At 42.0% G+C, this 27,470-nt stretch overlaps 1 protein-coding gene across 2 annotated transcripts, besides 1 other annotated feature; it reads left to right on the forward strand.

Moving 5' to 3' along the window:
* Positions 1–60: 60 nt before the first annotated feature.
* Positions 61–23,665, forward strand: ZNF354C (zinc finger protein 354C). 2 transcript variants are annotated; one of them, XM_017009409.2, is made up of 5 exons: positions 61–778; positions 1,703–1,783; positions 16,133–16,259; positions 16,759–16,854; positions 18,371–23,665. In XM_017009409.2, exons 2-5 carry the CDS (start codon positions 1,757–1,759, stop codon positions 19,783–19,785), a joined length of 1,665 nt encoding a protein of 554 aa, XP_016864898.1. In that variant the 5' UTR covers positions 61–778; positions 1,703–1,756; the 3' UTR covers positions 19,786–23,665. The 2 variants fall into 2 exon arrangements, with proteins under 2 accessions (XP_016864898.1, NP_055409.1); NM_014594.3 differs by having other exon boundaries at positions 61–354.
* Positions 380–915: an enhancer, noted in NCBI's record as "H3K27ac-H3K4me1 hESC enhancer chr5:178487693-178488228 (GRCh37/hg19 assembly coordinates)". NCBI's record gives its function as "activates a minimal SCP1, AML or CMV promoter by ChIP-STARR-seq in naive H9 embryonic stem cells {active_cell/tissue: H9 hESC(naive)}" and the evidence as "EXISTENCE:reporter gene assay evidence [ECO:0000049][PMID:30033119]".
* Positions 23,666–27,470: the final 3,805 nt, after the last annotated feature.

The raw sequence follows: 27,470 nt of genomic DNA on the forward strand, positions 1-27,470 counted from the left end.
CACCGCGGCGTCCCCTGGGAAGTGTAGTCGGCGTGGGGCCGGAGGCATGCCGGGAGTGGTAGTTCTCCCGCGGTTGGCGGGGTTTCGGGGACAGCTCGCGGCCTTTCGGGGGTTCTCCTGGCTTGGGCCATCCAGGCTTGGCTAGGATTGCCGGCCTGGGGTTGAGGCGCTCGCAGTGGTCTCTTCCGGGCCGGGGTGGATCCGGGCCTCTCCAGCGAGTGGGCGGCGTGCAGCCTCGTCTGGGCTTCTGGGACCAGCCCTACGCGGCTCGGGCCCCTTGGCCACTGGGTCCCGGGGCGCCGTCCGCGAGCGGCCTGGACTGCCGGAGACCCGCGGGAGGGAGCGCCTCGCCAGGTGAGCTGGGTGCGCCGGGCCGCTGGGGTGGGGATGCCAGCCTTTTGTCGTTGTTCATTCTGCGATTTTCTTCTGTGCATTTTCTTCTGAGTAACGGAAATAATAAAAGCAATAGCTGATGCCCGCCGAGAGCGCTCGGGTGCCAGGCACCAGACTAGCGCATCGCCCGAACGAACTCCGCGCATCCCTGCTAACAGATAGGGTGGCGGTACGCTGTTCCCGCTCTGTCAGGAGGAGACCGAGGCAGAGTGGCGAGGTCATTGCCCCAGATGTAACTGGGGCCTGGGGCTAGGATCAGGATTGCCTTCCCGGCCCTTATGACTTTGGGCAGGTCACGACCTCCTGGTTTTCAGTCTCCGTAACATCTGTAAATGTGAAGATTGAAAATACTGCGTGGAAAACACTCACCGCTTCCTGGGAGGAGGTGCGCTTCGTCGCGTAACCGAGGCCTTGTGTGGCAGCTTCCCCTGGGCTGGTCGAGGCACCCGCTGGAACTGGCCTGGCAGAGCCCCAGGTTGGCTCCATGCTAGGGGGCACCCTGAGTCGCCGCTGCAGATCGCGGGCCTGGAGGCCCTCACACTTGCCCGGCTGCCCCAGGCAGCCTCTTCCCTTGCTTTCTGTGGGGCGGGCACGGTTTCCACCTCTCCCACCTGGGGTTGGTGTTTGGGCAGCGACGGCTGTTTCTGGTTGTGGGTGCCATTAGAGGCGGCACCTGTGGAGTATTAGGAGGGACAGCAAAGCTCTGGCTTTGGGTGGGGACAGTGCCTTAATCCTGTTACCTTGGGTAAAGTGTGGTAAGGCCCGACGAAGATCTAGTAAAGAGGCTGGGAAAGCTGAGTGGTTGGATTATGCTCACAGTTTCTTGGGGAGAACACAGCACTCCACGGAAGGACCACTCAGGGCGAGCAGTGGGGTCTGTCACCAGGGTAGGGATGCGGGGAAGCCTCTTTATCGTGGCTACCATAGGGAGGAAAGGGTGAGGCAGGGCAGGCAGGATGAGGATCAGCTAGCTAGGCTGGGAAGTGGCGCCCCAGGAGACTGGATATTCATTGCGACTTTTAGGTGTGCAGTTCAAAGCTAGCGAAGGACTCCAGACATCCATGGGGGAGTCACGGTTTGCCTAGAGGTAGCTGAGAGGCCCGAAGGTGGAAGTTAAAGAGTCCAAGTGCAGAAATAGAAGTAGGGTTGGCACATTGCCCTAGTAAACTAGTAAACACTCTTCTTGCTTTACATCATTACGGGGGGTGGCTTTTTTGAGACCTGATGGACATTATGGGCGGTTGTAACTTCCTCTCTCCAAGCCATCTCCTGACGCCAGGGTTCCTCTTGACACCTTTTTCCTCTGCAGACCCACCGTGTCCACACTCTGCTCTCCCTGGGCAGGAAGACTGAGGAGGAAGGGATGGCTGTGGATCTGCTGTCTGCTCAGGTGAGAGTGAGTGAAGGTTGTCTTTTTCATCAGTTGGCTTCTGGATTCAGAGATGGTAGACATGTTTCCAGACTTTGTCCAGGTACTTTTTGGTCCAACCAAAACGATGAAGAATCCGGAACCTCAAAAGTTTTTCCCAGTGTCTTGGGCTTAGCAAGGGGCTGCTGAGGAATGTGCCTCTTTTGTCCCGAGACTACTCTTAATTCACCCCGCTCACTCTGTGATCCACATTTGAGGCAGTTCTGAGCATATGCTTCCCACTACACTGGTGCTGGGTGGGGAGAATGGGGCATGAAGCAGTCTCTGTCTTCATAGAGGATATAGTCACACTTGGGGCTAAGATGTGGAAGGGCCGGAAGACAGCCTCCACAAGCATTTATTGAGCCCTATGTACAGGATCCTGTGCAGCACACGGGATGGAAAGAGGAAAGCTGTCATTTCCATCTTCTGGGAGTTCGTGGTATCGATCTTAGGAAACATGATTAAATGTTCAGGGGAAATATCCCAGAAGTGGGGGCATTCTGAGTTTATACTGGAGGCCAGGACTGATATTGGTGCTTAGAGAAGACTAAGGGCATCCCAGAAGGAGTTCAGCGTGGTTTGGGCTTTGAAGCCCAGAAGGAGGCAGGCCTGGGGCCTTCCCCTCCCAGTGCAGCGGGGATGTTAAGCTGTCCAAATGTCCATCTCACCTGTCTGATTGATTCCTCTATTTCCTTCTCTGATTCTTTTCTTTTTTCTCTGCTAGTTTAGCCTCTCTACCTGGGCTCTTTTTTCTTGTTCTTTCCCCATTTAAGATCCATTTTCATTACTTTAACCCTCAGCGTTCTGAGTATCTTCCCCAAATCTGTCCTCAGGCCTGACCTTTTTCCTAGCATTCCTGTCTGTCATTCCGACGTGGAAGTCCCATCTTTCCTTCAACACCAGCTCCCTTTCCTCTAGTCCCCTCCCTTCTGTGCATTTTTTCTGCCATACTCCAAAGCCTATTCTTCATTGACTCCTTTTCCAATAGCCCATAGGCTGGAAATGTGGACTCAGGAGCTTGACTTCATGGCTTCAAATCCAAGCTAGGGATGTAGCCCTGAGCAAGTTATTTTATCTCTCTGTACCCCATTTCCTCAATTTTGGTGGGGTTAATAATATACATACATGACTGAGTTGCTATGAGCATTAGTAACAGTAGTAGCTGGGCACAGTAGCTCACGCCTATAATCCCAGCACTTTTGGGAGGCCAAGACAGAAGGATTGCTTGAGCCCAGAAGTTTGAGACCAACCTGAGCAACATAGTGAGGCCTTGTCACTATACAAAATTAAAAATAAAGTAGCTGGGTGCAGCAGCACCTATAGTCCCAGATACTAAGAAGGCTGAGGTAGGAGGATCACTTGAGCCCAGGAATTCGAGGCTGCAAGTGAGCTATGATTGTGCCACTGCACTCCAGCCTGGGCACGAGAGTGAGACCTTGTCTCAAAAAGAACCCCAAAAAGTAGTAATTACAAGCATATTTGCTGTGAGCCAGGTTCTATGTATTACTATGTATAAAAATATCTATTCCTTTCATATAGTAAGTCATTTAATCCTTACAAGAGGACTGTTAATATCTGGATTGTACAGATGAGGAGACAGGCACAGAGAAGCAAGTAACTTGATCAAGGTCACACAGCTGGCTTTTGATCCCAACAAGACAGTCTATACTGTTAGCATCATGCTCTGAAAAAGTACATTTAAAATGCTGAGAGAAGTGCATGGCACGTATTAAGACCTCCATAAATTCCAGCTGTTACTATGATCAGTATCAGTAACAGCAGCAGCAGCACTATTTTAGGACCTGCCAGATTTGGTGTGCTTCGCCTCACTAGGCCTGATTCCTTAATTAGAAGCAGATGGATATTTCAGGAAACCAAGACGTAAAGACCAGCAAAATGCAGTGCACAGGAATATCCAGCTATTACCTGGGCTATCTGCTGCCCAAAGGTAGGGTTGTTCGCTATCTGAGCTCGCCTACATCCACAGCAGGAGAGACTTACTTCATTTTAGCCAAGGGCAGAGGTAGGTTTGTTTGCAACTCAGAGCCAGTTTTTGTTGTTGTTGTTTTTGGAAGGGGTGACAGCTGATTCAATATCTAATCCTTTTGTGGGTTTTTGTTGTTGTTGTTGTTGCTTTTTTTTAGAGACAGAGTTTTGCTCTGTCGCCCAGGCTGGAGTACAGTGGTGCGATCTCGGCTCACTGCAGGCTGGAAGGAACTCTTGGGCTCCTGCGATCCTCCTGCCTTGGCTTCCCAAAGTGCTGGATTATAGGTGTGAGCAACTGTGCCCGGCCAATATGTAACCCCCCTTTTTTTTTGGAGACAGAGTCTTGCTCAGTCGCCCAGGCTGGAGTGCAGTGGCGCCATCTCGGTTCACTGCAAGCTCCGCCTCCCGGGTTCACGCCATTCTCCTGCCTCAGCCTCCCGAGTAGCTGGGACTACAGGCGCCCACCACCACACTGGCTAATTTTTTTTTTTTTTGTAGAGACGGGGTTTCACCATGTTAGCCAGGATGGTCTCCATCTCCTGACCTCGTGATCCACCTGCCTTGGCCTCCCAAAGTGCTGGGATTACAGGTGTGAGCCACCGCGCCCGGCCTATGTAACCCTTTTGATTAAGTCTCCTGGGGACCCAGAGTGTCCCAATCACAGGTCTCATTACCCCATTTAAGTCAGTGCAATGGTGATATCCAATATCACATTCTGTCCTCATTAAGGGTACCGAGGGAGAAATTTCTCTCTACTTGTTAGGAAAACTGCAAACAAGCATATTTTTTGGAAAAAAATAGGTTCTTTGCAATATTACATATTTCCATGTAATATATAATTTATTGTCTGGGGAAAAGGCACATGGAATTTGGTATTGATTGCTTAATAGTCATAATTTGTTAATTACATATTTTTCTGCAGTAAATAAGTACTTTTTTGATATTGTCAGTATTTTTAAAAAGAATAATCTTTATTTTTTTTACAACAATTTTAGACGAGAGAATAATTACACAGTTATCATACCCTGCACCCAGCTTCCCGTTATTCCCTACATTAATTTGGTATATTTGTTACAATTAACGAGCCACCATTGGTATGTTATTATTAACTGAAGTCCATGCTTTATTCACATTTCCTTAGTTTTTACCTGCTGTCCTTTTTGTGTGCCAGGGCCCCCCAGGATTCCACATGACATTCAGTTTCACATCTTCTTAGGCTGCTGTGGCTTTGGGGCTTTCTCAGACTTTCCTTGTATGTAATGATCATAATAGTTTTGAGGAGTACTGGGTTAGGTTGTTTTTTGTTTTTGTTTTTGTTTTTTTGTTTTTTTTGAGGTGGAGTCTCACTCTGTCACCCAGGCTGGAGTGCAATGATGCGATCTTGGCTCACTGCAACCTCTGCCTCCTGGGTTCAAGTGATTCTCCTGCCTCAGCCTCCAAGTAGCTGGGATTACAGACATGTGCCATCACGCCCTGCTAATTTTTGAATTTTTGATAAAAACGGGGTTTCACCATGTTGGCTGGGCTGGTCTCGAACTCTTGGCCTCAAGTGATCCGCCTGCCTGGCCTCCCTAAATGTTGGGATTACAGGCAGGAGCCCCCATGCCCGGCCCTGATTAGGTATTCTGTAGAATGCCCCTCCATTGTGATTTGCGTGATGTTTTTTCTCATTATTAGCCTGGGGTTGGGTTTTGGGGAGGAAGGTCACAGAGATGAAGCGTCAGTCTGATCACAGCATACTACAATTGCATACTAATAACATGACATCCCTGTTGCTGTTCACCTTCATCACCTGACTGAGGCACTGTTTGTCAAGTCTCTCCACTCTACAGTTACTTTCTTTTTCTGCCTTCCCATACTGTATTCCTTCGAAAGACGACACTGTGTAGCCCACACTTACGGCCTGGCAAGACAGGCACCACTCCTAGAGGTGAAGAATCAACATACATTATTTGGAAATCTGTATGGAGGATTGTTGCTTCTCTCCATTTATTTATTTATTCAAACATTCATTTATATCAGTATGGCAACCATGGATCTTTCTGCTGTCTGTACATATCAATTATGCTTTAAAAACTTTTTTTTAGTGGTTACCCTATAGTTTTCAATATAAATTTACAACTAATCGAAGTCCACCTTCAAATAACATACTGCACCATGGGTAGTGGAGGTGTCTTATAACAGAGTATTCCCCTCTTCCTTACGGCATTGCTGCCATTCATTTCACTCATCCATATGCTATCACCACCCAATACACTGTTACTATTATTAATTTAAGCAAATAGTTATCTTCTAAATCAAGAGTAAGAAAAATGTTATCATCATTTGTTCCTTCTCTATCTTCCCTCCTGTCTTCAGGTAGATTCAAGTTTCTGACCTATTTTATTTTCCTTCCCCATGAAGAACTTCTTTTACTATTACTTGCAAGGCAGGACTGCTGGTAATGAATTCCCTCAGTTTTTGTTTGTCTGAGAGAGCTTTACTTCTCATCCTTTTTGAAGGATAATTTCCCTGGATATTGAATTCTACATTGGTGATTTTTTCCCTCAACAATTTAAATATTTTGTTTCACTCTCTTCTTGTTTACATGTTGCTAATGGGAAAATCCACTGTCATTCTTATCCTTGTTCTCTATAGGTAAGATCTTTTTCCCTGTCTTCTTTCAAGATTTTCCCTTTGACTTTGGTGTTCTGCAGTTTTCATATAATATGCCTAGGTGTAGATATTTTGGTAGTCATCCTGCTTGGCCTTCTCTGACTTTTCTGGATTTGAGGTTTGAGATGTGCTGCTAATTTTGGAAAATTCTCAGCCATTATTACTTTGGATATTCACTCTGCTCTGTTCTCTCTTTCTTCTCCTTATGGCATCCCAATTACATTGTAATTTTAAATGATCAAGTAGAATTGTATTTTTAACATGGAAGGATATACATGCTATATAGTAAGAAGATTTGGAATATGAAATGACAGTAATCATTTATCATTTCTCACAGTTTCTCTGGGTTAGGAATGCAGGTGTGTGAGAGAAACAGCTTACCACACAAAGTCGGGTGTCTCAGCTGAGAGATTTAAAGACTAAAGGCTATAGAATCGTTTGAAGCCTCAGTCGTTCACATGTCAGGTAGTTGATGCTTGCTGTTGGCTCATTGCTGTGATCACAGATAGGGCTATTGGATGGAGCATCTACCCATAATCTCTCCTTGTGACTTGGGCTTACAACATGGCGACTAGGCTCCAAAAGTGAGCATCCAGTGAGCCAGGTGAAAGGTGTATTATTTTACTACTTTTTCTTGGAAGTTACATGCATCATTTCCATTGAATTCCACTGGACAGCTTCAAAGGAAGGAAACATAGAACTCACTTCTTGGTGGGAGAAATGTCAGTGTCACATTATACAAAGAGCACGTAAGATGAGAGAGAAATTGATGTGGTCATCTTGGGAAAGTATAATCTTCCACATTTGTCAGAATTAAAATATGTATAGCCTGTAATCCCAGCACTTTGGGAGGCCAAGGCAGGCGGATCACCCTGAGGTCAGGAATTCAAGACCAGCCTGGCCAACATGGCAAAACTCCGTCTCTACTAAAAATACAAAAATTAGCTGGGTGTGGTGGCGCACGCCTGTAATCCCAGCTACTTGGGAGGCTGAGGCAGGAGAATCGCTTGAACCTGGGAGGCAGAGGTTGCTGTGAGCCAAGATGGCGCCACTGCACTCCAGCTGGCGACAGAGTGAGACTCTGTCTCAAAAAAAAAAGAAGAAGAAGAATGAGGTTTGAGGCTGGACATAGTGGCTCACGCCTGTAATTTCAGCTCTTTGGGAAGCTAAGGTGGAGGAATGGCTTAAGGCCAGGAGTTCAAGACCAGCCTGGGCAACATAGCAAGACCCTGGCTCTACAGAAAAACAAGAGAATTATCTGGGCATGATGGTGCACATCTATAGTCCCAGCTACTCGGGAGGCTCAGGTGGGAAGATCACTTGAGCCCAGGAGTTCAAGGCTGTAGTGAGCTATGATTTATTGCACTACTGCACTCCAGCCTAGGCAACAGAGTGAGACCCTGTCTGTTTAAAAAAAAAGATTTCTCTATGTGGATGTGATAAAGATCCATGAAATGCTAGTAAAGCAGGATTGAGAATTTTCCCATTAAAAAAGGATACATGTGTAAAGCACTGCTAGTTACCTGTAGAATGGGGCCGCTAATTGGAGTTAGGAGAGAATCCCTAACATTGCACTGCGTGTTCTTTTGCATCCTTTCTATTTTTTAGCACGCGTCTGTTTTCATATTGTTTAACGAATAGTCAAAAGAACACGGTGTGTGTAATTGGATCTAAAGTCTGGAATACATTTCTAAAAGAGGAACAAAAGTTGTCTTGAGTAATAGGATTTAGTATGATTTACATTGTGTTTTTGTTTTCAATTTAGACATTTTTTTCTGAAGTTTAATTTGTTTAATTTTAGTCTCTGATTATGCTTAATTTGTATACTTTTTAAAAAGCGAATGAAATTTTAAAAGAAAAAGAATGCTTTTTTTTTTTTTTTCCTGGAAGTATTCTAAGGCCTAGGGGAACGGGATTGGTGGTAAAGACGGAAGTTGGGTTTGCTGTGAGTGTCCTGTTAACAGCAACACGGAGCCTGTATTAGTGTGCCAGGGCACCATAGCAAAATACCAGAGACGAGGTGGCCTCAACCATGGAAATGTGTGTTCTTGCAGTTCTGGTGGCCAAAAGTCCAAGATCAAGGTGTGGGCAAGTCTGGCTTCTCCTGAGGCCTCCTTGGCTGCTTGATGGCTGCCTTCTCGCTGCCTCCTGCCACATGGCCTCTCCTGCGCATGAGCGTGTCCGTGTCCTGATCTCCCCTTCTTAGAAGCACATGCCGGTATTAGATTAGGATCCAGCCTAAAGGCCTCATTTTAACTTAATTACCTCTTTAAAGATCTTGTTTCCAAATATTATTACATTCTGAGGCATAGGGGTGGAAGCCAAAAATAAAATTAGAAGGCCCCCTGCAGCTGTCTGAATGGACTTCCTCCTTGGCCCTTGAAATTTAACCTGAAAGACTGGTTCAGGCCGTGACAGGAAGTAGGGGTTGGACAAGCCTCATTGTACCCTCCAGCATTAATATCTACACAAACCTTAAATCTGATAAGAAACATTTACAGTCTATTCTCTCTAAAGCCTGCTACTTGGAGGTTTCATCTGCCTGACAAAACCTAGGTCTCCACAACCCGTTATCATGACCCAGACATTCCTTTCTACTGATGATAATTCTTTCAACCAACTGCCAGGCAGAATATGTTTACCAAAAATACAGAAAGTAGCAGGGCATTGTGGCACGTGCCTATAATCCCAGCTACTCAGGAGGCTGAGGCAGGAGAATCACTTGAACCTGGGAGGCAGAGGTTGCAGTGAGCCCAGACTGGCCACTGCACTCCAGCCTGGGCGACAGAGCAAGACTCCATCTCAAAAAAAAAAAAAAAAAAGAAAGGCCGGGCACGGTGGCTCACGCCTGTAATCCCAGCACTTTGGGAGGCCGAGGCGGGTGGCTCACGAGATCAGGAGATCGAGACCATCCTGGCTAACATGGCGAAACCCCGTCTCTACTAAAAAATACAAAAAATTAGCCGGGCGCGGTGGCGGGCGCCTGTAGTCCCAGCTACTCGGGAGGCTGAGGCAGGAGAATGGTGTGAACCCGGGAGGCGGAGCTTGCAGTGAGCCGAGATTGCGCCCCTGCACTCCAGCCTGGGCGACAGAGCAAGACTCTGTCTCAAAAACAAACAAACAAAAAAAACCAGATATTTACTTTTCTAGCTTTAATTATAGATAAGGTACAGGCTTGTGACCCAAGCTTGACCTACTTCAGACTTTCAGTCAGGAGCTAGAGCTACGAGGAAACAGGAAGAGAACAAAGGTCTCCAACCCCCAGTTTTGCAGACCGGTACCAGCTCCTGGTCTATTAGGAACCAGGCGGTACAGCAGGAAGTGAACAGCAGGTGAGCGAGCATTACCACCTGAGCTCTGCCGCCTGTCAGATCGGCAGCGGCATTAGATTTCATAGGAACATGAACCCTATTGTGAACTGCGCACGTGAGGGGCCCAGGTTGTGTGCTCCTTATGAGAATCTAATGCCTGTGATCTGAGATGGAACAGTTTTATCCTGAGACCATTCCCCCAACCCTCCTGTCTGTGGAAGAACTGTCTTCCACGAAACCTGTCCCTGGTGCCAAAAGGCTTGGGGGCCTCTGATATCGAGTACAGTCTGGTAATTTGTGGCAACATCAGTAACATTGAGTTTGTAGGGGAAGGAGGAGTGGCACAGCAAAAGCAGTAGCTGTCTTGTGCTGGTGAGGCTGTACCATCTACTTTTCCATGACAACAGTATTCTCACAAGTCTGGTTTCCTAGTGTGATCCTGGCTGTGGTCCGGAATGTTGCTGCCCTAGTTTCTGTTTTATTTTCCAAGCCTACTTCTGTGACTATCAGTTTCCCTGGAGCTACCTGGTCTCTTGTGTAAATGAGCCAAAGTCAGTTTCTATTGCTGGAAACCTAAAACAAACTTCACATTTCTTATAATCTTCTTATAAAGCCACCTGCCACAACCCAGATTCTCATCTTGCATTTTAAAAATACAGCTTAGACAACAAGTGTTTCTAAGTGAGAACATTATAAGCATTTTGAGTGGAGTTGTCTTTCCTTATGCAGCACTCTCTCATCCATTTCCAGATGATTAGCAGCCTTGATCGCTCTTTTTTTTTTTTTTTTTTTTTTTTTGAGACAGAGTCTTGCTCTGTTGCCCAAGCTGGAGTGTAGTGGTGCGATCTCGGCTCACTGCAAGCTCCGCCTCTCAGGTTCACGCCATTCTCCTGCCTCAGCCTCCTGAGTAGCTGGGACTACAGGCGCCTGCCACCAAGCCTGGCTAATTTTTTTTTGTATTTTTAGTAGAGACGGCATTTCACTGTGTTACCCAGGATGGTCTTGATCTCCTGACCTCGTGATCTGCCTGCCTCAGCCTCCCAAAGTGCTGGGATTACAGGCGTGAGCCACTGTGCCTGACCCTGATCTCTTTTTTTAAATGCCGGCAGGACTCCCTTAGTCACTGTGAAAAATGAAACACCCTCACACATTGCTACTCACTCTAGGGAGGTGGGAGGAGATACCACACGCTAACGAGAACAACTGGATGAGATGATTGATAAGATGTGTTTCAGGTCTGGAGTTCTAGTAGTCGGTCATTTTATCATTTCTTAATATTTAATGACTTTGCCAGGCTCATTTTTTTTTTTTTTTTTTTTACTTTTTAAAATATACTTTCAAAAAGATACATGTGCTTCCAGCTTCTGGTAATAGAGAAATAGCTCCTTTCAGACTAATTCATCTGTGGATAACTACTACACTCTGGATAAAATATAAGAAACCTTAAGGTACTGGAGAGAAATCAAAAGCAGACAGATATTAGACACCTGTGTATATTTGGAAGAAGGAATTGTCACCAGATAAATTTTCTGTTTTTTACAGCTTTTTGCCTGGGAGTAGGCCACAGTCAGCACCAACAGAATAATCAAAACTTAGTCACAAACTTGCAGTCTTACTGGTGTGAATAACCACAAGATAGAGTTTGAGGCAAACTTAGCAGTTGGAAAGTGAGAGGAGGAATCTTGGAAAGGAGAGAGGCAGAGAAGGGAAGCCCCAGATTCTGTGCACAAACTCTGCCCAAATCTCTAGCTGACCCCTGAACCATACATGCACAGGACAGACTCAAAGTAGCCCAAATAAGAACTGAACAAAGATATTTGATGCTGCCCACTAGAGAGGTGGCAGAGTTCGGAATTTGACTCCAACTAAATTAACTACCTGCTTAAAAAAGTCAGTACTCTTCAAAGGAACATAACAAAATCCAGAGTTTCTACACATTGTGTACTGTACAATTTCCAGGATAAGGTAGGCATATGAAGAAATGGGGAAGTGTAACCAAAACTCAAGAGGAAGACAATCAATAGAGACAATGACCCAGATGACCCAGATATTAGAATTCACAAAGATTTTAAAGCAACTACTATAACTGTGCTCAAGGACTTAAAGGAAAATATACATGTAAAGAATGAACTAATAGGAAATGCAAGCAGAGAAATAGAGATTGTGAAAAAAGTAATTCTAGACTATGAAGTTTTAGAACTGAAAAATAAGATACCTGAAATTGTAAAAAAAAAAAATTACTGAATAGGCTTAACTTTTGGAAATGAACATAAGGAGAAGTCAGTGACAGTTGAAGGTAGATTGACAGAAATTATCCTATCTGAAAAACAGGGAGAAAAAAGGCCCTCAGTTACCAATTAAATGATATTAAAAGGTCTAATATACATGAAATTAGAGTTCTAGAAGGAGAGGGGACAAAGAATGGACAAACTATATTAAAAGGAAATAATGGCCTAAAATTTATCAAATTTGGTAAAAAACATAAATTTACTGATTTATAACATTTGATGAATCTCAAGCAGGATAAATACAAAGGAAGTCACAGCTACACACATCATTGATCAGTGACATGCAATAGAAATATAGTGTGAACCAAGAATGCAAGCCACATACCTAATATAAAATTTTCCACCAGCTACATTAAAAAAGTAAACAGAAGCAAATAAATTAACTTTAATAATATATTTTCTTTGACCCAGTAGATCCAAATATTATTTCCACATGAAATCAATATAAAATTATTGAGATAACTTGCATATATGTTTGTGTATGTATGTATGTATATGTTGTATGTGTGTGTATGTATGTTTTTAAGTAAATAATCTGGTATGTATTTTATACAGATAACATATCGCAATTCAGAAGAGCCACATTTCATGTACTTAGTAGCCACATATAGCTAGCTGGTTTCTACCATATTGGGGAAAGTCATAGAGAAATCACAAAAAACAAAGATTTGAAAGGAGGCTGAAAAAAATTGTACTACATACAGAGAATCAATATTTGAATGACCGCTGGCTTCTCATCAGAAACAACAAAGACCAGGAAGCAATAGAATGACATTTTACATGCTGAAAGAGAGAGACAAAAAAAATCAACCCAGAATTCTATATCCAATGAAAATACTCTTCAAGAATCAAGATGAAATAAAGCCATTTTCAGGTAAAATAAAATTAAGCTAATTCATTGCCAGCAGGCCTGTACTATAAGATACACTAAAAAGGAAGTTATGTAAGTTAAAAGAAAAATATACCAGAGGGGAACTCTGATTTTAGGAAGAATGAAGAGCATTAGAAATGGTAGCTATCTGGATAAATATAAAATACTTTTTTTCCTTTCGATTTCTTTAAAGTGCAGCTGATTGCTTAAAGCAAAATAATACTATTGTATTATAGGAGGGGGTTTACAATGTAGGCAGCTATAATACAAATAACCACCATGAAGATAGAATTTATTTACATCTGGACTGGAAAAGCTCTATCTTTTTCTCTAGAAAAGCTCTATTTTTATCTCTGGGAATTCTTGGTGGTCTATTTTTTTGACTCTTGGCCAAAACAAGATAAAGGCAGCATGGTTTTTTGTTGTTGTTGTTTTTTGTTTTTTGTTTTGTTTTTGTTTCTGTTTTTTGAGACAGAGGGCTGGAGTGAAGTGGTGTGATCTTGGCTCACTGCAGCTTCCCTGGGTTCAAACAATTCTCATGTCTCAGCCTCCTGAGTAGCTGGGACAACAGGTGCATGCAACCAAGCCTGGCTAATTTTTTGTATTTTTAGTAGAGATGGGGTTTCACCATGTTGCCCAGGCTGGTCTTGAACTGCTGAGCTCAGGCAGTCCACCCACCTTGGCCTACCAAAGTGCTAGGGTTACAGGTGTGAGCCACTGAACCCAGCCATCAGCTTGTGTAAGTTTTTGTTGTTGTTGTTTTGTTTGTTTTTTCAGAAAGAGTCTCGCTCTGTCTCCCAGGCTGGAGTGCAGTGGTGTGATCTTGGGTCACTGCAACCTCTACCTCCCGGTTCAAGTGATTCTCCTGCCTCAGCCTCCCGAGTAGCTGGGACTACAGGCACGTGCCACCATGCCCAGCTAATTTTTGTATTTTTAGTAGAGATGGGGTTTCACCATGTTGGCCAGGATGGTCTCCATCTCTTGACCTCGTGATCCGCCCGCGTCAGCCTCCCAAAGTGCTGAGATTACAGGTGTGAGCCACCGCGCCTGGCTAATTTTTGTACTTTTTTTTTTTTTTTTAGTAGAGACAGGGTTTCACTGTGTTGGCCAGGAAGTTCTCGCACTCCTGACCTCAGGTGATCCGCCCACCTCTGCCTCCCAAGGGGCTGGGATTACAGGCGTGAGCCACCACACCCGGCCTGGCTTGTGTATTTTTAAGATCTCAATGCCACTGGCTACTCCTGGTAAGCTTCCTTACTGATGGCTTGCAACTGGCCTAAATGATTTGACAGGACTTGCTTGATTACATAAAAAGGCCCCTGCTGAGAGTTCCTCCTTTGAGCTCTCCCACACCAAGATTCTTCACACAGACCCAGAGTCATGGCGTGGTCTGTGCAAATAAGGGAGACAGCACATGGAGTGTCTCTTGGCTTTCTAGTGCTTCCCTGAACTCTCTTTCTCTTGCTGTGCTGTACCCTTTGCCTTTCAATAAAAACCTTGACATGAATACGCTCAGTGAAGTTTGGTAAGTGCTGTCAACTCTCTGAACTGGGAAAATCTTTGTAAAACTATAGCATAAAGAAGGGTGGTGATGTCCTATATACTTGCAAGATTCTTGCATTCTATGTGAAACGATATATTAGCTCTAAATAGGTGATGAGTAACCAAAAATGTACATTATAATTATTCGAGTAACCACTAAAAATACAAAGAGGTCTAACTACAAAGTCAACATATAAGTTAAAATAGGCCAAGTGTAGTGGTTCACACCTGTAAGTCCAGCATTTTGGGAGGCTGAGGCAGGAGGTGGATCATGAGGTCAAGAGATCAGACCATCCTGGCCAACATGGTGAAACCCCGTCTCTACAAATATACAAAAAAATTAGCCGGGTGTGGTGGTGGGCGCCTGTAGTCCCAGCTACTCGGGAGGCTGAGGCAGGAGAATGGTGTGAACCCGGGAGGCAGAGCTTGCAGTGAGCTGAGATCGCGCCACTGCACTCTAGCCTGGGCGACAGAGTGAGACTCTGTCTCAGAAAAAGAAAAAAAAAAAATAAGCTGGTGGTATGTGCCTGTAGTCCCAGCTACTCAGGAGGCTGAGGCAGGAGAATTGCTTGAACCTGGGAGGCAGAGGTTGCAATGAGCTGAGATTGCACCACTGCACTCCAGCCTGGCAACAGAGCAAGACTCCATCTCAAAAAAAAAATTATAAATAAAATAAAATAAAATAAAATGGAATTTAAGAAAATTCAAAGCAAAGGAACACACATACATACACACAATCTCCCTAACTGTAAAAAACTGTAAGCCTAATGATAGGGCATAAAGTAATAAGTGAAAGATTGCTTTTCTGCCCCTCTCCACAAATATCAAAGAATAACGAGGGTGACAGCTTGTATCCTTCCAGATAGTTGTGCATGTGTCATATATATGTATATACAGATGTAGAGTTTTTCAACAAATATAGATTCTTTTGTGGCTGGCTTTTTCATATGAATCAATAATATATGAAGGTCAAATTCCAGTGTCATAGAGATCTACCTCATTCTATTTAGCGGCTGCATGACGTTTCATGGAATAAATGTACTGAAATTTGCTTATCCATTCCCTTATTGATAGATATGTAGGTTGTCTTCAATTGTTCACATTGTATTTCTTTCTTATTGCTGCTGTAACAAATTACTACAAATGCAGCATCTTGAAACAGCATAAATGTATTCTTTTACAGTTCTGGAAGTCAGAAGTCTGAATTCAGTTTTACTGGCTTGAGGTCAGGCTGTCGGCAGGGCTGGGTCCTTCTAGGGCTCTCAGGGGAAAATCTGTTTCCTTGCCCTTTTCACCGTCTAGTGGTTCCCTGCAGCCCTTGGCTTGTGGCCCTCTCATCCATCTTCCGAGCCTAGCACTCCAGTCTCTGCTTCTGTCATCACATCGCCTTCTCTTGAGAAAGATCCCAGGCTGGTATTTAAATTGCCTGTTGGCAGGAACTTTGCCTGTTTTCCCCTACTCCCACTGCACGTGGCATGTGTCATTGTTCTCAATGAGTACTCCATAAATACTTTTTTAATTAAATAGCTAATGGGTGGTTCCAAAAATTACGTAAACAGTTGACGTGAATTATTAGAATCCTGAGATTTTCTGTACATCCCACTGTCACTTTCTTCCTGCATTTTCCGTTGAAGAAGATGGTCCTGGGTGAGCAGGTATGGGTTTGCCATTACAGGAGCCTGTGACATTCAGGGATGTGGCCGTGTTCTTCAGCCAGGACGAGTGGTTGCACCTGGACTCTGCCCAGAGGGCCTTGTACCGGGAGGTGATGCTGGAGAACTACAGCAGCCTGGTCTCACTGGGTAAGAATTTTTGCCTATGACGAAGAATCTGTTATAGGAACGCCTCACAGGTCCATCTTTGGGGTTCCGAGCCTGTGGTCTTGTACCCTACTGAGCCCCTCAGAAAGGCTGAATTGCTGTAGAGTGGAAAGTGTACATCTTTGTTGTGATGCCCTTCTTGCTATCTGTTTCTCTACCCTCCACTCTCCCTCACATCCTACCGCCAATCAGTTCCCTCCTTGGAGTAGGCCAATGACTAGAGATCCCAGTTTAGATTCTGAAAAACACATAGGGACCCCCCATCTTAGAGGCCTTCATTGTCAGGGCCCTATAATGGTTCTGAACTGAGACCTTCCCCGGCCATTGACAGCTCCAGTGCCCCTGCGAAGTGCTTGTGCTGCCTTGTCTGCCTCTCAGGGCTTGCCTTCTTTGCTGTGTTGGTTCAGAGTGAGTAGTAGGTCAGTTCTAGGATTGGTCTTCATGCTATTTGTTCAAACTTCATTTGCTTCCTCATGAGCAGGGATTCCATTTTCAATGCCAAAGTTGATTCATCAGTTGCAGCAAGGAGAAGATCCCTGCATGGTGGAAAGAGAAGTCCCTTCAGATACCCGTCTAGGTAAGTGAGAGGCTGGGAAATGGGCACAAGGGGTTCTTTATAGACAAGTAGGTCACAAAGAGGCAGTTCTTGGGAAACTCTTGGAAATACTGAGTCCTCTTGAGATGCTCAGGCCAGTTGTATTTTGTTTGAGTTGTATAGGTTAAAGTACACACAATTACCTAATTGCAGTTATCTAATGTTAACCTATTTTCTATCATGGATTGATGAAAGGAAATCAGGTTTTAACAGAGAGTAGTTTAGAGTCACCTCGAACTAAATCTTTTCACCCAGAATCAAAGCTGAGCTTGGGGCTTGGGCATTTTTCAGGACTTTAAGACATACTGACTTCAAATCTCCTGCAGATTTTCATTATTCTCAAGAGATTCCTACAAAGAGAGTGCAGTCTTTTGGTTGCAGCTTATTAGAAGAAATGAATATGTCTCTCTTTGTGATAAAATAAAAAGAGGAAAATAAAAAGAAAGGTAATATGAAAAAAATTGTTATTCTTCCAATCACCAGGGACAGATTGTTGCACAGGGGTGATTTACTCCATGTTTTCCTCTTTTTTATAATGAGCATCTTAAACTTCGATCACATAGAATCATCACAGTCATGCTGCAGGGCTGTTGTGATTTTCAAAACCTGAATGTCCCCCCACTCCTTTTTTTTTTTTTTTTTTTGAGATGAGTCTCTGTCACCCAGGCCGGAGTGCAGTGGTGTGATCACAGCTCACTGCACTCTCCACCTCCCAGGCTCAAGCGATCCTTTCACCTTAGCCTCCTCAGTAGCTGGGACCACAGGTACATGCCACCACGCCTAGCTAATTTTTTGTATTTTTGGTAGAGACGGGGTTTCACCATGTTCTCCAGGCTGGTCTCAAACTCCTGAGCTCAGGTGATCCACCTGCCTCCCAAAGTGCTGGGATTACAGGTGTGAGCCACCGCGCCCGGCCTGTCTTCTCTTTAACAGACTGTTTCCCCCTTCACAGACTACAATATAAAATCACAGTCACATGAAGTAAAGAAATTTAAGAAAACCAATCCAAATATTTAAAAGATTATCGGGCATAGAGTTTCAGAGAGAGCATGGGGAGAAAACGTAATGAAAGGGACATGTGAGTAAGAAGGAGAAGGTGGACAGGCTGCCTACTTCATTGCCTGGTATATGCATAGTGGAAAATGATGACAGAGTGGAGTATCCCATGGTATTCAGCGTGGGCTTATCATTTGGCATTTTTCTGTATCCTCATATCTTCTACTCAGCCTGTTCTTCTGCATCTAACTTTACTATATCCAGGTGGAATCGCTTCATTTTCATTGTTAATTTGTCCAGTGTATTCTCCCATGCCATTCCTTAACCTGTTTACCTCACTTTCCTTTATCCCATCCTGTTCTTCCCAAGATTCAAGTCAGCATTTGAAATCTGATTGTATCACTCTTCTTTCATATATACTGTTACCAGTTTTTTTGTCTCACCGATACATCAGTTTGTTTCTTCCAGCAGAGGAGGCATTAATTCTTCTGATTCATTTTAGGTTTCAAGACTTGGCTTGAAACAGAAGCATTGCCTCATAGACAGGACATTTTTATAGAAGAAACATCTCAGGGAATGGTAAAGAAAGAATCCATTAAGGATGGTCACTGGGACATTAACTTTGAAGAAGCTGTGGAATTTGAGAGCGAGATAGAAGAAGAGCAAGAGAAGAAACCTCTTAGACAAATGATAGATTCGCATGAGAAAACCATCAGTGAAGATGGAAACCATACAAGTCTTGAATTGGGGAAAAGCTTATTTACAAATACAGCTCTTGTCACACAACAGAGTGTTCCTATAGAAAGGATACCCAATATGTATTATACATTTGGGAAAGATTTTAAACAGAATTTTGATCTCATGAAATGCTTCCAGATTTACCCAGGAGGAAAACCTCACATCTGTAATGAATGTGGGAAGAGCTTCAAGCAGAATCTGCATCTTATTGAACATCAGAGAATTCATACAGGTGAGAAACCCTACAAATGTAATGAGTGTGAAAAAACCTTCAGCCACAGATCATCCCTTCTTTCTCATCAGAGAATTCATACTGGAGAGAAACCTTACAAGTGTAATGAATGTGAGAAGGCATTTAGCAACAGTTCAACCCTTATCAAACATCTGAGAGTGCATACTGGAGAGAAACCGTATCGATGTAGGGAATGTGGTAAAGCCTTTAGCCAGTGTTCAACCCTCACTGTACATCAGAGAATTCATACTGGAGAGAAACTCTATAAATGCGGCGAATGTGAGAAGGCCTTCAACTGTAGAGCAAAACTTCACAGGCATCAAAGAATCCATACAGGTGAGAAACCCTATAAATGTAGTGAGTGTGGGAAGGGATACAGCCAGTTTACATCTCTAGCTGAACATCAGAGGTTTCATACTGGAGAACAACTGTATACATGCTTGGAATGTGGGAGAACCTTCACACGTATTGTAACCCTTATCGAACATCAGCGAATTCACACTGGACAAAAACCTTATCAGTGCAACGAATGTGAGAAAGCCTTCAACCAGTATTCATCCTTTAATGAACATCGGAAAATTCATACTGGGGAAAAACTTTATACATGTGAGGAATGTGGGAAAGCCTTTGGTTGCAAATCTAACCTTTATAGGCATCAGAGAATTCATACTGGAGAGAAACCGTATCAGTGTAATCAGTGTGGAAAGGCCTTCAGCCAGTATTCATTTTTAACCGAACATGAGAGGATCCACACTGGAGAGAAACTGTATAAATGTATGGAATGTGGGAAAGCCTACAGTTACAGATCAAACCTTTGTAGACACAAAAAAGTTCACACGAAAGAGAAACTCTATAAGTGGAAGGAATATGGGAAACCTTTCATCTGCAGCTCCTCACTTACCCAGTATCAGAGATTTTTTAAAGGAGATAAAGCCTATGAGGTTTAGTTCATCTCTCAAATAATCCAAGACTTCTCACTGGGGAATAAGGGAATAATAAATAGGGTACAAACTCCTAATAGATTTGTCTTTTTTACTTCTCCTGAAGGAAATATGTTAGTTGCCACTAAGTCATGATAAAATTGATCAGTGAGACTATGAAGAGCACTGACTTGTTAAATTTTAAAAGAACCATAAATTCTAAGGTATCTAAAAACCTATGAGTATTTAATTCATAGAAAAAATGTAAAAGGTCTTTTTAAAAATCATGAAAAATAGTTGAATATACATTTTGTTTCTCTCATAAGACCATATTCCCTTTAAAAGAGTAAGCTTCAATATGTGAATTTTCTTTTAAAAACAGTCACTGAGTTAATAATGTAAATAAGTGTGTGGCCTTCTTTAAAATAGCTGGCTAACATAGGAGGCACTTCTTTTCATAAAGAGAAGCTAAACATAAAAAGGAATTTTAAATTTAACTCTTCACATGGAAATAATAAAGCTCTTTATATGAGCTGTCCCACCAGCAACTTATATATGTAAACATACATATATACACATATGCATGTGTGTGTGTAAACATAAAAGTCCTTTATTATTAAAAAATGTAGTTTTATTGATTTAGAATTTAGTTCTTAAAATCTTGCCCAAAGGTAGACTCTCTTTCTTTTACTTTCTTCCATTATTTCTTAAATTGATGTGGTTTTATATAACTGAACAGAGTACTATTACAGTACCGTAGAAGGCGGATTAACTGAAGCAGCTGGAAAGACTGTCAAGCACATACTTTGTTATCTGTTGCAGAAGGGATGTATTTGGCAGAATCTCAGGCTGCATGTCTGGTAGCTCATTAGAGCCAGGAGAGATTTTAGTTTAATTATAGCCTTTCATTGTACTAACGAAGGATTTGAACTTAGTGAACAGAGTCAAGACTAGAATCTAGGTCTTTGGTTCTGGTGTTTTGTGATCATTATAGGCTCGTTTCCAACCTGAGGTCCCAAGAGTACTATTTGTTTTGTAGCCTGGTTAGACATAGTTGCAGTAATTTAAAGTTACTGTGTTATCTTTAAGGGCTTCCTCTCACCTTAATCTTAATAATTGACTCACAACTATATTCTTTTTTCTTATGAGTCCCTAATTATGCCTGCTTTTGTTATAATTGTACTTAAATCCTTAAAGCTAGCTGAGGTCCAGATAGTGTAATTGCTTTTGGAGGCTTCACATATAAGGTTGCCTTCTTATTACACATATTTTAGGAATTAATTATTTTATGGAAAGTTATATATGAAGAGTTTATTATTAAGCATTCCTTTCATCAGTTTAAATGTTTAATTCCTCCCAGGCGTTTTTCCTCCAATTTTATATTTGATTTTTCATTCAATTCACAGTTGGTATCATTAAAAAAAATTCTAATACAATTAGCTAGACCTTCTGAGAAAAATGTTAGAATTAAACTCAAGCAGTCAGTATAGTATATTTCTTAACCGACTGGTTTTAGCTTATCAGAAAGTAATTATTTTATGTATTTAAATACATTTACAAAGAAAATGAGGCTTTTAAACAGACCTCACTATTTAACATTGTACCCAGTAGTGGTGAGCATGCTTAGTACCCAAATTTTGGTTTCTAAATGCCATTCCCCACTAAAAGGAACCAGGGTTCCTTGGAGAAATGGCTGATTCCATGTTTGGAGCAGGGGAAGTGGGTGGTGTGGCTAAAATACTTTTTATTAAGAAAATAAAATAAAAAGCAAGATAGTATTTGAAGACTAATGGGGTAATGTCAGAAGGGAACAGGCGCCAAGTTGAAGGTATTCTCACTGGCCAAATTTAGGACAACTTAGAATAATCACTCTTACTGGTGATAATACTAAGAAGGAAAAGAAGTTCATAATGATGAAAGTAGAGAAAAAAGAAAACTCTATACAATTATTTGAAGAATGTCTTCTTTTAAATGTACATGGAATGATAGATTTGGAAAAATTACCATTTTACAACCCTTAATGTAATTAAATCTGGCAAAAATCGATGGTAAAACCCATTAAGTGGAAAAAATTTTAAGGAACTTTGTTTACAAGGTGTCAGAACATCACAGATATCTATTGCAAAAGAATTGCCTTTACAGTGAGATTTGGCTATCAAACTGCATTTCACTACTTCTGGAATAAGCCAGCATTATGTGGCTCTTGATGGGATGCGGTATGAAGCATGTGTGATCATCCTTGATGTACTGCCGAAAATGTTTACCTCAAATTTAATTAAATCTTTTGTCTAGACTTATCTTCCTGTTTAAAGAAATACAGGAATAGAGGAACAAGTTGAATTACACAGTATGGAAATAAATAGACAAGTCCAGAGTTGGTATAGGACAACTGGACTTTTTTTTATATATTTATTTTAAAATGGTTTTCTTAAATTTATTTTTTTAAACATAACACGAGGAAGCTGTTAAAACTGGTGTAATAGCTCAAAAGAACTAAGTATTCCAGATTTCGGGAGGGATGAAGAGGGAGATATTCAGAAACCTTCACCAGATTCCTCCCAACTTGATCATAGTGGATTAATGACGTGCTTTGTGGATGTGGTTAGTCAATGACACCAGCTTGACGGATCTTTCTTTCTGCACCAAACCCCATTGAGTTATCTGGTCCCCTTGGCTGACGAAGAGCCATTAGGCGAGGATCACTGGCATCATCCAGGGTGATGTTCTTCAAGCGACTGACCAACCGATCAGGTCGAGGAGCTGCAACAGCCTTGGGGCCCTCACAGACTCGCCAAACATTCCAGGCACTGCACTTGCCAGTGCGCTGATGAAGAATCACGGAGAACTCCACCTCATCTCCTGCCTGGAGCTCAAGGCCATCCTCAACTTCTTTCATATGGAAAAAGAGCTTCTTGCTATCCCCTACTTCATAGTTAATGAAGCCAAACTGATCTTGCACACATTCCACTGGCCCTACGCAGGGGTGTGATGTTGTAAGCCATAGTTTGTGCATTTTGGCCCTGGTCTGGACTTTTCAAAAAGCAAATGTAGTAAAACAAAAAGTGGTCTCTGCTAGATTAAGACAAGAGACATAACCAAATGGAAAGTGTGATCCTTTATTAGCTTCTGATTCATAAAAAAACCTATAAGAGACATTTGGGGGGATATTTGGGGAAATAGGAAGATGGAATGGGTAGTAGATAATGTGGTATATTTGATTTTTCTAGAAGTGATAATTGAGTTACGTAGGATAATGTTCTAATTCTTAGGAGATGCATGCAGAAGTTTTTTTTTTAAGTTTTGAAAAGTCATGATGTTGACAGCATATTTTCAAATAAATATGTACAAAATCAGTCAATTGTTTTTTGTGGTGGATCTATATGTGGTGGATGTTCATTGGTCATTTAAAACATTTTTCTATGTGTGTCAATTTTTAATAAAAATGCAAAAAGTGATTGGATAAAGAAGTGATGAATATTAATCTTTCAATCAGAATTCTCCATTTATATTCTTAGGAAGTTCCTGTTTGAGAGTTTATCCTCCAGGGATGTAATCATTGGCAATAAAGTAACTAGGTGGTACCAGTTCTCCTTTAAATGGAATGAGCATGTTCCACTTTATCTCTCATGCTAAATGTAACTAAGGCATGGAGCAGCTGTCTGGGGACCCTCAAAAGTAATGATTGATAACAACAGGCAGATTTGGGAAGGAAACTAGAATTTGAAACAAGATCATTGTGGCGCTCCTGGGCATTCCTGTGGTGAGGACAGAGATGGCTGAGCAGGCATCTAAACCTCAGAGTTAGGAACCCTTCACTCTGGGCAGAGGATTTGTGAGCCAAAAAGGGTTAGGAGACTCCCCATTGCTTTTCTTCCCTATCTATCTTCCTGCTACTTGGACCTGGAGGTGATGTATCCATGAGGTGTGTAGCAGAGAGGAGAACCTAAACCCTTGGATTTCTAACCTGAAGATCAGGAAGAGGAAGTGGCTCCTGAGAGGTGGAAGGTGTCAAGGTGGTGACAAAGATAAGGAAGGTCAAGAAAGTGATTTCATAACAGTTGTTTATGCAATCTGGGGCTCTCCCCTGGTCTATACATATATAGGTCTGACCCGATAATTGTTTGGGTCTGACACTGGGCAAAGATCCAAATAGCACTGAGAATACTTAGAAAACTGGACTGACATTAGAACCACAGCCCACAGGAGATGGATTGGAACTGGTCACCAAGACTTAGCCAGTTAAATTGCCTGCTGGAAAAAATACCCTAACATTTTCTGGAAGAATTAAATACCCAGAGGCTCGTAATATTCAAAATGTCCAAGATGCAATGCAGAATCACGTGAAATACATGAGTCAGGAAATTTTCAACAATTCAAAGACAACAGACACTAACCCCAAGATGACACAGATGTTGGAATTATGAGACAAAGACTTTAGATATTATAACACTGTTTCAGAAAGTGACCATTCCAGAAATTGATGGAAATGTCAAATTTTTCAGCAGGAAAATAGTAATTTGACTCACTTCTAATAAATAGAATATGATAGAAGTGATGTGATGTCACTTAAAATATTTGGTTATGAGAAGACTGTGGCTTCTGCATAGGCATGTGCTCTCTTGAATCACTTGTCCTTTCAGAAACCAGTTGCCTTATCGTGAGGACACGGCCTGTGGAGAGTTCCATGTAGTAAGTAACTGAAGCCCATGGCCCACAGCCAGCAACAAACTTTGGCCTTCTAGCAACCATGTGAGTGAGCTTAGAAGTGGATCCTCTCTTGCCTGAGCCTTCAAATAGGACTGCAGCCACAGCCAACTACTTGCCTGTAACCTCATGTGAGACGCTGAGCCAGAAAGACCTAGCTAAACCACTCACTTCTGGCTTCTTAACCCCCAGAAACTCTGGGTTAGTACGTGTTTTAACTGGTAGGTTTTGGGGTAATTTGTTATGCAGCAACAGATAACTGATACAGAACTTGGTACTTGGAGGTGGGCAGCTGCCATAATGAAAACCCAAAATATGGGAGGGGTTTTGGAACTTGGCAGTGGGTGTTAAGTAGGCATGCGCTGGTAAAAACCTCAAGTGCTTTGAAGAAACTATAGCAGCATCATGTCTGACAAGGCTGTAGATGAGGACTTCTAGAAGAGTGAGGTAAATGTTATTGGAAAACTGGAGGAAGGAAGAACTTACGTAGTGGCAGACTGAAAGTAAAACATGTGCCTAATATGATCTCACTAGAGAGATTTCCTGACCGAGTGTTGCAGGTGCCATCTGGCTTCTTGATTATGGTAACATATAAGGAGAGATTAAAAACTATAGGAAAGACCATTAAACAAAAAGGATCCAGGGCTTCATGGTTTTGGAGATAATCTCATCAAGACAACAGGATTTGCTAAAATTAAGAAATCACTTCTCAGCAAAGATCAAATTTAGAGAACTCCTTGGAAAACACCCTCCAATGATGAAGCTCCTTATAGTATTTAATAAAAATTAATAAAAAGTTGACAAAGATGTGGAAAAATTGGAACCTTCACACACTGCTGGTGGGAGTATAAAATGGTGCAGCCTCTTTGGAAAACAGACTGGAATTTACTTCAAAGATTAAATATAGAGTTACCATGTGACTTAGCAATTCCACTCCTAAATTTATACCCAAGAGAAATGAAAACAAGCATTTATATATGTACATGAATGTTCATAGCAGCATTATTCATAATAGAAAGTGGAGACAACCCAGTGTTCATCAGCTGATGAGTGAGTAGGCAAAATGTGGCACATTTGTATAATGAAATGTTGTTTGTCAATAAAAAGAAATAAAACACTGATAAATGCTACAACATGGATCAACCTTGAAAACGTGCTGGGTGAAGGAAGCCAGTAACAAAGGACCACATATCGTATGGTTCCATTTATGTGTGATTTTCAGAATAAGCAAATCTGTAGAGACAGAAAGTAAATTATTGATCTCCAAGGGCTTTAGAGAGTTGGAGAAAATGTGGGGTGACTGCTAATGGATGTGGAGTTTCTTTTTGGAATGATGAAAATTTTCTAAAATCATGCTAATTATCGCGCAACTCTGAATATATACTACAAGGCTTTTGGACTGTACACTTTATATGGGCGAATTGCATGGTGTGTGAGTTCTATCTCAATAAAGTTTATTGTAAACAACCTATTGCAAATGCTTATCTGTTAATGCCAATCTGTAATAAAATTTTATATAGTTCATCTTTGGAAATGTTCTTTCACACCGATAGCATTGTTGGATGCTGGTATCTGTCCATAAGCATATTATTTCAATTGGGCATATCCATTGCTTGGAAGTCATTTATAGAATTTAGTTAGATTCTTTGGATGTTTGCCTTTCAGCACACTGTTACGTTGCAGATTAAGAAGGGTTTGGGTGGATGCTCCTCAGTTGTACTGTTAAGTGAATTTTGAAATATGTATATTTCTTTTGCATTTGCATTAGGATCTAAAAAATGCTGTTGGAACTGGAGTTTGTGCTCAGAATCCATATGTGTGGAAAATATTTGTGAGAATGGAGATATCTCTTCTTATTTTAAACTTGGACAGCATGTGAAATATATAAAGCATTTTCACATTACTTGCGATTCAAATATTAGTTGTCATTGAAATGACTTTGCAGCAGAATAAGCTTTGCACATAAGCTCTGATTTGCCTTGAAATGTGAGGTTGAATTCATTAAGAAACATCAAGTTTGCAGCAAAAGCTAGTTTCTAAAGGCATCCCATGTTTAATGATAGTGGTTGAACAAAGTTCTTCTCATTCAGAAAAACTTCACCCTCAGCCCTGAGCTTAAAAAATTGCAGGCAAACTTTATTACTGTTAAGTCACTGAACTGCTGTGTGGCAGAGCTAGTCAGGATATTTGACTTCTATTCCTGGAAAAAAAAGTCACAGAGCTAACAAAAGTCCATAAGAGCAAATGAAGTTCACTTTTGACATTACTTGTTCAGCAAGAGAGACTTACATATTTCCTGCATACTACCTGCTGAAGAATAACCACAGGTTTTAAACACCTTAAACTTTTGCAAGCTTTGTGAACTTCTCTAACTAAGCCTCGGAAAAAGTTCTTTAGGCCAGGCACAGTGGCTCACGCCTGTAATCCCAGCACTTTGGGAGGCCAAGGCTAGTGGATCACTTGAGGTCAGGAGTTCAAGACCAGCCTGGCCAACATGGCAAAACCCCCATCTCTACTAAAAATACAAAAATTAGCTGGGCATGGTGGCGTGTGCTGTAATCCCAGCTACTCAGGCAGCTGAGGCACGAGAATCGCTTAAACCCAGGAGGCGGATGTTGCAGTGAGCCGAGATCGCGCCACTGCACTCCAGCCTGGGTGACAGAGTAAGACTGTGTCTCAAAAAAAAAAAAAAAAAAAGTTCTTTACGTATTTACATATTTTTACTACCAGCAGTTGGAACACATTTTTGCAGATTCCACTTTGGGTTTACTAAATTAGTATTTTCTTTAAAAATATTCTTGCTTTTGATTGGTTCCACACAATCTATTTATAGAGGTCAATTATTAAGTAATTTCAAATGATATTAACTATCAAATCCACGACAACTGAGTAGTATCACTCACATCATTGCCTCGTCCAGAGCCAAGGGAAACCACTTAAAATCATTTGCCGTATTGACTATTGACACTGCTCGCAATGTTCTCAACTCTTCAAATGAGTAATGTCAC

Source organism: Homo sapiens, chromosome 5, assembly GCF_000001405.40.
Source record: "Homo sapiens chromosome 5, GRCh38.p14 Primary Assembly".
In the NCBI taxonomy this organism is placed as follows: domain Eukaryota; kingdom Metazoa; phylum Chordata; class Mammalia; order Primates; family Hominidae; genus Homo; species Homo sapiens.

Excerpts from the sequence above, each read along its gene's own strand:
- ZNF354C (XM_017009409.2), top strand. The coding sequence starts at position 1,757 with ATGGCTGTGGATCTGCTGTCTGCTCAG. Across the intron at positions 16,260-16,758 it reads CAGCAGCCTGGTCTCACTGG|GGATTCCATTTTCAATGCCA; the intron begins GTAAGAATTTTT and ends CCTCATGAGCAG. Across the intron at positions 16,855-18,370 it reads CCCTTCAGATACCCGTCTAG|GTTTCAAGACTTGGCTTGAA; the intron begins GTAAGTGAGAGG and ends GATTCATTTTAG.